This window comes from Homo sapiens, chromosome 22 (assembly GCF_000001405.40).
Source record: "Homo sapiens chromosome 22, GRCh38.p14 Primary Assembly".
NCBI lineage: Eukaryota > Metazoa > Chordata > Mammalia > Primates > Hominidae > Homo > Homo sapiens.
The window spans coordinates 25,694,116-25,707,012 of NC_000022.11; the positions used below are offsets into that span (position 1 = coordinate 25,694,116).

Here is a 12,897-nt window from a genome sequence, read left to right on the forward strand (position 1 = left end):
ACAGAGATGCAAATCCCCAACACGAATCCAGTGGCTGCTGTATGTGGCCCCATGACGTTTGTGCAGTGCTCACAGCAACCCTGAGAGGTAGAGATGTCATCTGATTACCCATTTTACTGATGAAGAAAATTAATCGTGGATGAAAAGGTTGTAGGGCATACAACCTTTTGCCAGAGCCCTGTCAGGCTGCATCTTGGAAAGTTCCCCACCGGCTGCCTCGCATGCTTCCTGCTGCAGCCGGGCAAGCTCAGCCCTTCAAGGAGGGGTGGAGAGTGCTAGAGTGGGAAGGGCTTTCGAATTGCAGATGGTGCAGATTATATATAAAATGGTTGTCCTCCTAAGTGATTTTTCTCAACTTCCTGAAAATCATCTTCACATTTGCTTAGTGCTGAGTCCTTTTGACCTTCTGCAGCTTTTGAAACCTGACACGTGATTTCTCCATCTTATGTACAACTGGGCTCATGTTCCTCCTTCTTTCCCATCCCCCTGGGGTCTGTTGGTGACCATGACCAAGCCGATGCCCCTGTGAGCTCAGGTCCTCAGCACAATTGGTGGCACCACACAGGGGTGGACGTCTCCATGCCTTCAAGGTCCACAGCGCCGCAGCGTGGTCGCCTGTTCATCATCCGTTCACTCCTCCCTTTCCCTGCCTCCCCTGACCCCATGCACCTCCACATGAGAGCTCCTGAAACGGCAGGAGAACCTTTGCTCTTCATAGCTGGAGTAGAGAAGGACTAATGAGATCCCGAACTTGCATTTTACATATTTATTTCATACGCTTATTTATGTTAATTCATACATGAGTGAAGGCAGAAAAGATCGTTTTCCCATTGGATGTTCAGTGCATCACGTTTGCGGTGAAGCACAACTGTCCCCTCTCCTTTGTTTACAGTCGCTGCCATCTAATGAAGGACACCCGGACCTTGGGGCGCTGTTAGTGTTTTCTAAAGTGGGCATGCTCTGATAACTGTGTATACTTTCTTCTCCCTAGTGGCACCCATGGGTACATGGCTCCCGAGGTGCTGCAGAAGGGGACGGCCTATGACAGCAGTGCCGACTGGTTCTCCCTGGGCTGCATGCTTTTCAAACTTCTGAGAGGGTGAGTTGAAATGCATCCTTCTAGTGCTGTCCTCATGGCAGCAGGAGCTTGGATGAAAACTGAGAATATGTAGAAATGACTAGACGCTAATGTTATTTTAAATCACACAGTGATCTTTAAGCCATGTGCTAATCTGGAAGACTCTGTCTTAGAAGAGTGAAAGCTGCTTCCCAATAAGCTGCTAGATAAAAGCTTATGGCTTCGTATTTTTATTCTGTACCATGTAGGAATCAGAATTCTTTTAAACCTAAAATTAGACTGCTTCGAATTTTTTTCTTTGATAAGCCACATTGTAGGAATAAGTATTGTTTTGAAATGTAGGTAATTTAAAAAGGTAGAATGATTTTTTCCCTAGAAATTAATTATTCATCATCTTGAGGGTTTACAGATTTTGAGAGTTACAAAAAAAGGATGAAAACCCAAAGTAAACCTATTTTATTTTATTTTGTTTTGTTTTTAGACAAGTTCTCTCTCTGTTGCCTGGCTGCAGTGTAGTCACACAGACATCACACACACAGGCTCACTGTAGCCTCGACCTCCTGGGCTCAAGCAATCCTTCCACCTCAACCTCAGTCTCCTGAGTAGCTGGGACTACAGGCACACACCATCACACCCGGCTAATTTTTTTTTTTTTTTTTTTTGAGACGTCTCGCTCTGTCTCCCAGGCTGGAGTGCAGTGGCACATCTCTGCTCACTGCAAGCTCCGCCTCCCGGGTTCACGCCATTCTCCTGCCTCAGCCTCCTGCGTAGCTGGGACTACAGGCGCCTGCCACCACGCCAGGCTAATTTTTTGTATTTTTTCAGTAGAGACGGGGTTTCATGATGTTAGCCAGGATGGTCTCGATCTCCTGACTGGGTGATCCGCCTGCCTTGGCCTCCCAAAGTGCTGGGATTACAGGTATGAGCCACCGCGTCCGGCCTACACCCAGCTAATTTTTTAATGTTTTTAGAGGTGAGGTCTTGCCATGTTGCCCAGGCTGGTCTCGAACTCCTGGCCTCAAGCCATCCTCCCACCTCAGCCTCCCAAAGTGCTGGGATTAAACGCCTAAGCCACCACACCTAGCCGGTAAACCCATTTTAAAAAGCTTGCGTTTGTTGGGGAAAATGCTGAAATTAATTTGTCTTTTAAAGCTAGTAGTATACTTGGCCCTTGTTCTGAACTACCAAAGATGATGAAATAGAGTAGAAAAGATTATGAGAGGAAAGTACTCTCAAAATATGTTCTCATATTAAACACTTAACAATTATGTTAATGTTGCCATTAATTCTAAGACTTTTAGCCAATTTTAATGGAAAACTTCAGTTAAATTTTTTTATTATTCAGACTCATAAATCATTTTACATTAAAATTTCCTAGTTAAGATTTTCCTTTTAATATTTTCATATGAACACAGTCCCGATAGTTTGCTAAATGTTGCACCTTTCCATCGGAGAGCCTAACTGAGCACCACTGCATCTTACTACATTTAGCACATTCTGGAGAGAGGCTGAATTCTACATTCCCCCAAAACTAGGTTCTGAGCACCCTCTGTTTCGTCAGGACTCTGATAATCCAGTTGCTCTCTACTTTGCATTCACTTGTGATCTAAAATTGTATTATTGCTTAGAAAGTCGGGTTCTGTTATTCCTTAATTGAATTATTGTATTTGTGGAGCCTGGATGGCTTTAATTCATGTCATCAGACTAGCTGACCTAATTAGAGAGTTTATCTAAGCAAACCAGAGAAAGCCATTTCCCCTATGAGATGCTGTTCTCCCCAGTGGAGTCGCTTCTATGCATATGGAGTGCATGAAGACACCCAGGAGATCTTTATTTTGGATCTCTGCTGGAGATGTGGTTGGAGACAGACAGTCCCTACCTACAGAATTTGGAGATGATAAAAAGAAAACTGTGCAACAGCTGAACTGTTGAATGTAAAAATCAGCAGTAAAATCTGACAATCCCAGAAGCCTTGTATTTAGGGCTTTGTGTACTTCTTTGTTTTGTTACTCTAGCTGTTAAAATGGCCATGCATATAGGCTGGGGAGGATTTGCTGTAACACTGCTTCATTTTTTAAAAGACTAGAGGGTTTTGTTCAATAACTCTGTCTGCTCCAACAGTGTGGTTTGTGGCTAATAAAATGAATTCAGTCTTATTTGGCTGTAATTCAGCTTTGGCATACTGAACTGGAAGATATTAATTCCTTTGTGAAGTCCTTGATTGGCCTTGATGGAAGCATTATGTTCAGTGGGGCTCCTGCCGAAAAGAGTCTTGACAGACAGGAAGACATCCTGAGGATGGCCGTGAGGCTGGGAGGGATGGATGAGATAAGTGGAGAGTGGTGAAATAGCTAGAAATGATGGCCTCCGTGGGAAGACTGAAAGAGCTGAGTGCAGAACTTAGGGGAGCGCATGGTTGGCTCCAGCTGCTGGAAGGCCGTCTTGTTGAAGGGATCATATGCATGCTGTGTAACTCCAGAGGGATGCATTTTGAGGAGAAAAAAGATTTCAGTTTAATACAAGAATGTCCAGTCATTTGAGCTACCCAGTGAAGGAGGGTTCTGCCTCATGGATAGCAGGCTCCTTGTCACTGTCTGGTGACCATCGATTGAGCCTGAAATGGAAGGAATCTTTCCAGTGCTTGATAGATAGGATTAGATGAATCTCCCCCACTAGGATTTATTATCTCATGCCATTCCTTCTATTGTTTGTTCAGAAGTCACTCACAGATAGGATATAGCACTGGAGCCAAAGAGCAGGAAACATTTTTGACTTAAGTGATTTAAATTAAATGTGATAAGCATTTACTGCGTACCTGCAATGTACAAGAGACTGCTTGATGCTGTGGGGGAAGGAAAGGAGTAAGGAAGGAAAAAAGGAGAGGGAGGGAGGAAGGGAGGAAGGAGAGGGAGGGAGGAGGGAAGGAAGAAAGGAGGAAGGAGAGGGAGGAAGGAAGGAAGGAAGAAGGGAGAGAGGAAGAGAGGGAGGGAGAAAGAAAGGGAAGGAGGAAGGGAGGGAAGGAAGGAGGAAGGAAGAAGAGGGAAGAAAGGGAGAAAAGGGAAGGAAGGAAGGGAGAGAAAGAAGGAAGGAAGGAAGGAAGCCAACCAGCCAGCCAGGAAGGGAGCCACACAAAATCTTTGAGGGATAGGCAGTCTAGGAGAGTAGCTATTGATATACACACCGGATCAGGAGCTGGCTGAGCTGTGCTAACTTTGACAGTAGCGATGTGCTGCGAGCACAGACATGGCAGAACCAATTCTAACCTGGAAGTGTAGGGTTGACATCATGTGGGAGATGGTCTGTCGGGTAGGCTTTGAAGATAGGTAGGATGACAATACAAAGCCTGGGAGCAGGGGAAATACCAGCTTTCTATGTTTCTTAAGAGGGAAGGAGTGCTGAGGGAGAAGTCTCAGATGGTTGGGTCAGCACTGGGAGGACCTCGGATGCAGTGCTGGGAAGTTTGACCTTTATCCTCCAGGCCCCGAGGCTGAAAGCTTTTCAGCGGAGCAGTGGCAGGGTTGGGTGGCTTTTCAGTAAGATGATTCTGGAAGCAGCCTGGAGCAATGGAGGAACCGAGACAGGAGGCAGGCAGAAGAATGTGAGCAAAAGGCAGTGAGTTTGCGCAGCAGCCCTGGAACCTGACAGGAGCAAATGACATGGCGGCATTGCAGAGTTAGCTTCTGTAACGCTTCAGTGTTTTCGTGGAGTGTGTTTTGTTTTTGTTTTTTTATAGATGGTTGGATATGGAAGGATAGAAGTTAAACATGCTGCAATTTAGATTCAAGATGATTGGGAGAATAACGATGTCATTACTAAAATCAGCGTCTGTAAAATTTCAGTGGTTCACATGAAACTGAAGTGTACGGAGGGCCTTTCAGGAGCAAAACCCTGTGGCGAGGCGGGCAGGAGGTGGGACTGTGTGCAGGAGCCCTCACTGCCTCAGCTGTGAACAAGGGGATAATGCCACCTGTTCTACTTCCTCACAAAGTTGCATGTGGGAGAACCTCAAAAATATGCCTGTCAGCCTCCTGTGCATTTTTCCTGTGTTGTATAGAAGGGAGCCCCTGGCAGCTGTCTTTTCTCAGGCACACGGGGCCTAAGAAATCAACTGAGTGGAGGAGGAGATTGACTAGGCAGGGTCTCTGAGGCACAGGCTTGGGCACAGTCCCCTCTGCATCCTGACACTCCTGGGGCGCCTGTCCTCAACCCTGGGGGACACTGGGCAATGGCTGGAGGCATTCTTGGTCATCATAACTTGGGAAGTGGCTGCTACTGGCATCCCCTAAGTAGAGGCCAAGGATGCTGCTCAACATCCTATGAGGCACAGGACAGCTCCCGCAACACCCCAACAAAGAATCCTTTAGCCCTAAATGTCAACAGTGCCGAGGGTGAGGACCACTGCCCCAGAGCAAATGCCCCTCCCTCCTCCCACAGCTGTGCAGTGAGGTGGAATCAATGGCCACCAAGGAAGGGTCTTTCTATTTTCTTTTCTTTTCTTTTCTTTTCTTTTTTTTTTTTTTTTTGAGACGAAGTCTCGCTCTGTCGCCCAGGCTGGAGTGCAGTGGTGCAATCTCGGCTCACTGCAACCTCTGCCTCACGGATTCACGCCATTCTCCTGCCTCAGCCTTCCAAGTAGCTGGGACTACAGGCGCCCGCCACCACGCCCAGCTAATTTTTTGTATTTTTAGTAGAGACGGGGCATCACTGTGTTAGCCAGGATGGTCCCGATCTCCTGATCCCGTGATCTGCCCGCCTCGGCCTCCCAAAGTGCTGGGATTACAGGCGTGAGCCCCCGCGCCCGGCCGCTCTGTTTTCTGTTTTAATCCTCCTTGCTGTGACCAGCGTGCCCCCTTGCTTCTGCTGAAACACCTTTCTGCACACTTCATTTTGTCTTTATCCCCTACAAGAATACTGCAAGGCACTTGGAGAAGGAGTCTGGATGGGAGAAAGATGTCAAGGCTTCAGAAGGTGTTTTGCATCCCTGGACTCACAGTGATTGACTGAGCCGCTCATATGTGCTATCTTTGAGTGCTGGTCACTACTTCTATTTCAGATGACTTTGTCAGATACTTAAGAGCGTCTGTGTAGGAAGATGCATCCATGTTGCAAATCTGTGGAGCTGCCATCATGATCTTCACCTAGATTTAAGATGTCTGTTAAGGAAATCAATTGATGTGACAGTGGCCTCGATCTTAAGCTTGTCACCGTTGATTGTCTCCCCGTGGAGTTGTCAGACATGAGGGAGAGCCTGGGCAGTGGCCTAGGGAGAACTGAGTGCTGCTGGCGCTATTGAGTTTGTTCCAGGAGGGGAAAAAGGAAAGTTTATAAATATTTTGGCAACTACTGGCTTAGGTTTGAAATGCACATTTAATATAACATGCCATCTTTTGGGTATTTTATTTTATTTTATTTGAGACGGCGTCTCGCTCTATTGCCCAGGCTGGAGTGCAGTAGTGTGATCTTGGCTCACTGCAAGCTCTGCCTCACAGGTTCACACCATTCTCCTGCCTCAGCCTCCCGAGTAGCTGGGACTACAGGCTCCCGCCACCACTCCCGGCTAATTTTTGTATTTTTAGTAGAGACGGGTTTCACCTTGTTAGCCGGGATGGTCTTGATCTCCTGACCTTGTGATCCACCTGCCTCGGCCTCCCAAAGTGTGGGATTACAGGCGTGACCCACCGCGCCCGGCCTCTTTTGGGTATTTTGAAATTAACTTTTGATGTGAGAGTTTTTAATCACATAATTTTTTGAACCCATTGTTTGCCCATGAAAATGATGTAGAGCTAACTTGGGCAGGATGTGTGTTTTCCCATCATTTATAATGTCCTGAACAATTTTCCAACTCATTTAGGGGAAACGTGCAGCTGTTCCATTCTATCTGTAGTTCAGAAAGCTGCACTTGACCACAGGACATGTGAATTCTTTTCCCACAACGCTCCCTGATGCAGCCAGCATGTTGCATGGGAAGAGCTTGGCCGTGCCTTGTAAGCTGTTGACAGGCCTGTTACTGTCTCCTATTTAAAGCGGCTGCATCAGGGAGCAGCTGCGATCACACAGGATCTGTGCACACCACGTGCCTCACTCAGAATGGAGATTATTACTATCATAGGTTTTCTTTAACGTTTTTCAAAATAGAAACCAAGTCTTTGGCTTTGTTCACAAAGAATAATCAAGAATATATTGGAAACAGATGTGCATCAAGATTTCAACTTGAAAGACCAAACTGTCTGAACATGGCAGCATAGACTTGAATAGCTGAAGAGCATTTTCTGATAATTTCTCATTGAGCCGGACATGGAATCGCTATATTTATAAATGGAATTTGTAGCAATGGGGCCCATGTGCTGGAAATGGTTTTGGCACCACTAACTTTAACTCCAAGTCCCCTCGCAAGCCTCCCTGTGGTCTCATGAAAGACTTTTTAAATTTAGCACAGAGCGCTTGTGTCAGAACACAGCAGGCTGCAAGTACATCGGGACCAGATGCAGGAGTGGGGTCCTCTGGCTTTGCACGCAGGAGCCAGGTCCGAGGGATTTGTCAAAACACCAGGAGATCTTCACTTAATCCCTTTTTATACATTAAGGAACATCGTCGGGTGGAAACAGCTAAGTGTCAAGCAGGGAGACTAAGGTTTTCATAAGATTTGATAAACTTTCATTCCTTTTCTCTGCAACCTCAAACATGTTAATATTTCTGTGCATTTTGTATAAAAGAATGATACAAGTATGTTTTTAAAAATTATAAATAACAGATATTGTTTGCTTTTATATCTGCTTTTTAAATGTGGTAATTGTACATTTTTTCCTTGGAAATAAGGCAAAAAGAATATTTCCAATCAAAATCTGTTTTAAAAGTTAACAAATGCTTGCTGGGTGCTAATTTACCTTGTTTTGATCTTTTTTTTTTTTCCCAAATTAATGCTTTTAAGAGATGGCAATTAGTTTGTGTTTCACTGCATGATATGGAAGGAAATAAAGGACTAGAGTGCCCTCTCTTGTACAAAAAGAAAATTAAAGTGTTTCAGACAATAAATGGCCTGAAATGTAATAATCTCAAAAGATAGTTCAATGTATAACCTAATTAATTCAGTAGGATGACCAGCTCAGTAGCAGTAAGTAGCAGTGCAAGATAAGTGGCATTTTAATTCTTTTTTAGAATCTCTGATTTATGTGTTCAACATTCTAATCCATTTTATGGAGTTAATATTAAAATATTTTGCATAATATCCTGCCTGCCTCAGATTATGTCATATATGCCTTATAAATAAATTTATAAGATGACTACTTTGTAGGCACATCTTGTTATAAGAAAAGTCAATCATATGTGTCCCTTTAATTTTCAAAATGAAAAATAAACCATGGTAATTTAGTTTGCATATTTAATAGTGTCTTTTAATGATAAGATTTCCTTTGAAAGCCAGCTTCTCCAAAGTTTTTAAAACATGAGAGTGAGAATAATCTGTTTTACATAGTTCACCAAGTAGACATTCATTTCATAAAGTAAGAGTTATCTTTATTAATTTCACCAGTGGTTACTGTATTAGGTACCTACCGTGTACTGCCATTGTCTTGGCTACTTGCATAGATGTCACTTTAGTTTTTCCCTTCACTGCTTCTGTGAAGTATGCGGCTTGATCCCCGCTTTACAGATGAAGAATTGATACTGAAGGTTTCTATGTGGCTGACAGTCACTAAACCAACAAGTCACAACTTGAACCCAGCTTTTCTGACTCTGGAGTCGGGTTCTGCACAGGGAAAACAGGAAGCGCTCAGAGCTGTGGAGAATCTGCTGGTGCACGGTTAGTTTCTGTTTTCATCAAAGGGATGTATTACTTAAAATGACTGGTTTCTAGGGGTGAATCATTTCATCTCCTTCATGTTTTGGTTCAACTGCTGTTCCTTGGGCTGTTTGAGGGACCAATATCCATTTTTCTGAAAAATGTACATGAAAGTTATTGTTTAGCTCGAACTCTCATATGACAAATGTTATATAAATGACTTTTATTCTCATGATTACCTGTTGGCTAGTTATATATTCTTTTCTAATGATGTTTCCATTGGAACAGCGTATTTTAGGGCCACAAGTTCACTGAAGTGAGATTCAGGCAGTTCAAGTAAGATACAAGTCTTGCTATTTCAGGACCTAGCATTTATTCACCAGTTCTTCCATGGAAATGATAAATGTTTACGGCTTTTGCATTTCTCCAGTTTTGAATGAATAGTGATAGGACATCATACTTTACCCAAATATTAGTCAGTGATATGTTCTATATCACCTGATGCCATATTTTGATAGAACAATTCTTTATTTCTACAGTCACAGCCCTTTCAGACAACATAAAACCAAAGACAAGCATGAAATTGACCGAATGACACTCACCGTGGTAAGGGGATTCAAAACTGTATTCTTGTCTGTATGGTAATTGTCATGCTTCATTCCGTCAATAATAAAAAAATGCTATTACATAAAATGTTATAGGAAATATAAAATTATGTATAGACATAATAAAAATTTGCTTTCTTGAAACAAATAAATGCAGATACAATTTCTAAAAGAATTTCTAGGGGAAACATTAATGGAAATAGATGCCAAGGCAAAAATCAGGATTTACTAACGAACAGTATGAGGAAGCTAAAGAAAATCGAGAACAGAAGTAAAGAAATCAAAGAAAAGGAGAAATTACTGAGATGCCAACGAATGAGAATGCCTTCCGGTTCTTCTGATCTGCCCCCAGCCTCATTGATTTTGCAACTGATTAGTTATCTTTTCATGTTTCTATAGAGTAAATATTAATTCATAATGAGGCTGCAATTTTTAATACTATGCTTATCCCAGTAATAGTCTTTAAGTCTGGTTGAGTGTTAGGATGCTGTTTCATGAACGGATTTTTGAAATCTTACTCGTCTTTTCCCCAGAATGTGGAACTTCCAGACACCTTCTCTCCTGAACTGAAGTCCCTTTTGGAGGGCTTGCTTCAGCGAGACGTTAGCAAGCGGCTGGGCTGTCACGGAGGCGGGTAGGCCATTGTTCCTGCCTTTCGGTATCTTTACCAGAAGAGCAAAATAGTGATTTTAAATACTGTCTATCAAAAGTCATCCCTAGTCATTAAAATCTTCCATTTTGACTTGAAAGGGGAAAAAAATAAATCACATGGGAAATATACAAATATTGTCCTATGTGTTTTATAATTAAGAAGTTGAAGAAGTCACTCACTTTTTTACTTTATTTATTTTTGAGATGGAGTCTTGCCCTGTCACCCAGGCTGTAGTGCAGTGGCGTGATCTCAGCTCACTGCAACCTCCACCTCCTAGGGTTCAAGCAATTCTCCTGCCTCAGCCTCCTGAGTAGCTAGGACCACTGGGGTGTGCTACCACGCCTGGCTAATTTTTGCATTTTTAGTAGAGACGGGGTTTTCCTATGTTGGCCAGGCTGGTCTCAAACTCCTGACCTCAGGTGATCCACCTGCCTTGGCCTCTCAAAGTGCTGGGATTATAGGCGTGAGCCACTGCGGCCAGCCCACTTTTTAACTTTTAAAGATTGACCTTGTAGATGACAGAAGTGAATTCTGATATTTTGTAGTCCATTTGTTTTTTAGTGATGGTTGTATTTGTGATTGTGGCAGTTTAACATTCTGATCAGTTTCTCACATATTTCTCTCATGCATAACTGAGTAACTGCGATCTAACACATGCTCACTATTCTCCTGCCCCAAAACACTCTGAACAGTAATATCTGGAAAGCTTATAGAGAGGGACTTCAGACAGACCTTTTTCCTGTATCTCTTCTCCCCCAGGCTTGCTTGGCATAAGAAATAACTTTTAACTGTATATTACCTATATGTATATCATACATATGTGTATGTATTTTTAGTGTGCATATTATACATATAAGCATTTTATGTAGATAGCTAAATAATGTACATATATATGAGTATGTCCTTATCAATTTGCAAAATTACCTATTCCTGCTATAATAGATGAAGATTTAGCTCACTCATTACTGTCTCTGTAGCCTTCCCTTCCTCCACCTCTCAAAAGTTGAAACGCTATTTTGAGCTCCTCTTTTGCTTTCCTCTGTAGCTTTAAATTCCATGCTTAACCCGGTCTTGCCTTTTTCCAACTATAAACAGTATCTGAGTTGAGGATTTTGACATTCCTATCTTTCATTGACTTCTGTCTCATGTTCTTTCATGTTAATTTTTATTTTTACATTATCAAGATGATACTGCTTTCTATTCTGTGATCATAATCAATCATAATCAATCTTTGTGCTTTGCATATAGGTTAATTTCAAAAGTTGCAAATGAAGAAGGGGTATTTACACTGTTAAGGAATCAAAAATGTTGTTCATTACAAGGCTTTTACTTAGCCTGGTAATAAACCTTAAGTTAGTCATATATATACATATATAGTATGATCTCTCTCTCTCTCTCTCAAAAAAGAATATGATAGTTGTGGACTTTGTTTTTCCATGATGTTTCTTTCGGGAAGGACTCAGCCTGCAGCTGCAATGAAAAAGAGGTGCTCTATTTCTGCTGATTGGCATCATCTCACCCAACACTTCCCTTTCCAGTCTTCTGGACTGAATCTGCCATTCACTTGATTCCCTGCCTCCTGCTATATTTAGGCTAGATATAGAATTCTAAGGAAGTAATAATTTTCCCCCAGAGCTTTGAAACTCTTACTTTATTGTGTACAAGCAAGCAGTCAATGCAGGTCATGGAGCTAGGTTACCACTCGCGATGGCAGACAGGTAGCATCCCTTGTGCTCGGAGACTCGTGTTCTTCAGCTTGGAGACCACCCTTTATTTATTTGACATTTATCCTCCTCTGTTTCTCATAGAACTCTTATTAGCTGGATGCTGGGATTCCTTTCTAGATTTGGGCCTCTGCACTTCTGATCTTGTATATTACCTGCATCTTTGCTTTAATTCTTTGTTTTACTTGCCGATAGCACAAATTTTCAACCCTTTCGTTGATTTCTTTCTAAAAATCTTTAGCAGGTTTAATTTCTTAAAAGTAGAACCTTTCAGGGGTTTTACCCCATGTTAAACACCTTGCTGCAGGTGTTCTGGAGTTGGGTGTCAGGGAAGAAGTACGGCGGGTATGGGTGTGCATTTGTGTGCAAGTGTGCAGCTCAATGCCCAGGCCTGTGTCTCATCCCCCAGCCACACACACTGTGGTGAGCTGGAGCTCAGCATGCTGGCTCCGTCCCCAGGGCAGTAGCTCTGCCCTGCTTTGCTGTCAGTCACTGCCCCTGTGTCAGCACCCCCTCTTGTCTGCTGATGGCCCTCTCTCTCTCGTGGTGGATTTATTTTTTTAATATTTATTTTTACTTTTTATTTTTTATTTTTTTGAGATTGAGTCTCGCTCTGTTACCCAGGTTGGAGTGCAGTGGCACAATCTTGGCTCACTGCAAACTCTGTCTCCCAGGTTCAAGTGATTCTCCTGCCTCAGCTTCCCGAGTAGCTGGGGCTACAGGTGTGCACCACCACGCCCAGCTAATGTTTAGTAGAGATGGGGTTTCCCCATGTTGGCCAGGCTGGTCTCGAACTCCTGATCTCAAGTGATCTATGTGCCTTGGCCTCCCAAAGTGCTGGGATTACAGGCGTGAGCCACCATGTCTGGCCTATTTTTGTTTTTTAAAAGTGATAGTATCTCACTCTGTCACCCAGACTGGAGTGCAATGGCATGATCATAGCTCACTCCAGCTCCAAACTCCCGGCCCAAGTAATTCTTTGGCCCCAGCCTCCCAAGTAGCTGAGACCACAGGCCCACATTACCATGCCTGGCTAACTTTTTTTTTTTTTATAGAGAAGG

General features: G+C 43.1%; 1 protein-coding gene across 5 annotated transcripts in view, besides 2 other annotated features; it reads left to right on the forward strand.

Moving 5' to 3' along the window:
* Nucleotides 1-12,897, forward strand: part of GRK3 (G protein-coupled receptor kinase 3) — a 164,620-nt gene that overhangs the window by 129,441 nt on the left and 22,282 nt on the right. For 4 of the 5 annotated variants that reach the window (NM_005160.4, NM_001362778.2, XM_047441166.1 and 1 more), the window contains 3 exons: nt 992-1,099; nt 9,395-9,461; nt 9,994-10,094. In NM_005160.4, coding sequence (NP_005151.2) covers nt 992-1,099; nt 9,395-9,461; nt 9,994-10,094 — 276 coding nt within the window. Of the gene's footprint in view, nt 1-991; nt 1,100-8,726; nt 8,877-9,394; nt 9,462-9,993; nt 10,095-12,897 lie in introns of those variants that run through there. The other variant, XM_047441167.1, reaches the window with a different exon arrangement.
* Nucleotides 8,803-8,902: an enhancer, noted in NCBI's record as "active region_18788". NCBI's record gives its function as "activates an Ori minimal core promoter by ATAC-STARR-seq in GM12878 lymphoblastoid cells {active_cell/tissue: GM12878}" and the evidence as "EXISTENCE:reporter gene assay evidence [ECO:0000049][PMID:35858748]".
* Nucleotides 9,452-10,651: an enhancer, noted in NCBI's record as "BRD4-independent group 4 enhancer chr22:26099534-26100733 (GRCh37/hg19 assembly coordinates)". NCBI's record gives its function as "activates an origin of replication core promoter dependent on BRD2, P300/CBP, MED14 and CDK7 cofactors, and independent of BRD4, by STARR-seq in HCT116 cells {active_cell/tissue: HCT116}" and the evidence as "EXISTENCE:reporter gene assay evidence [ECO:0000049][PMID:35650434]".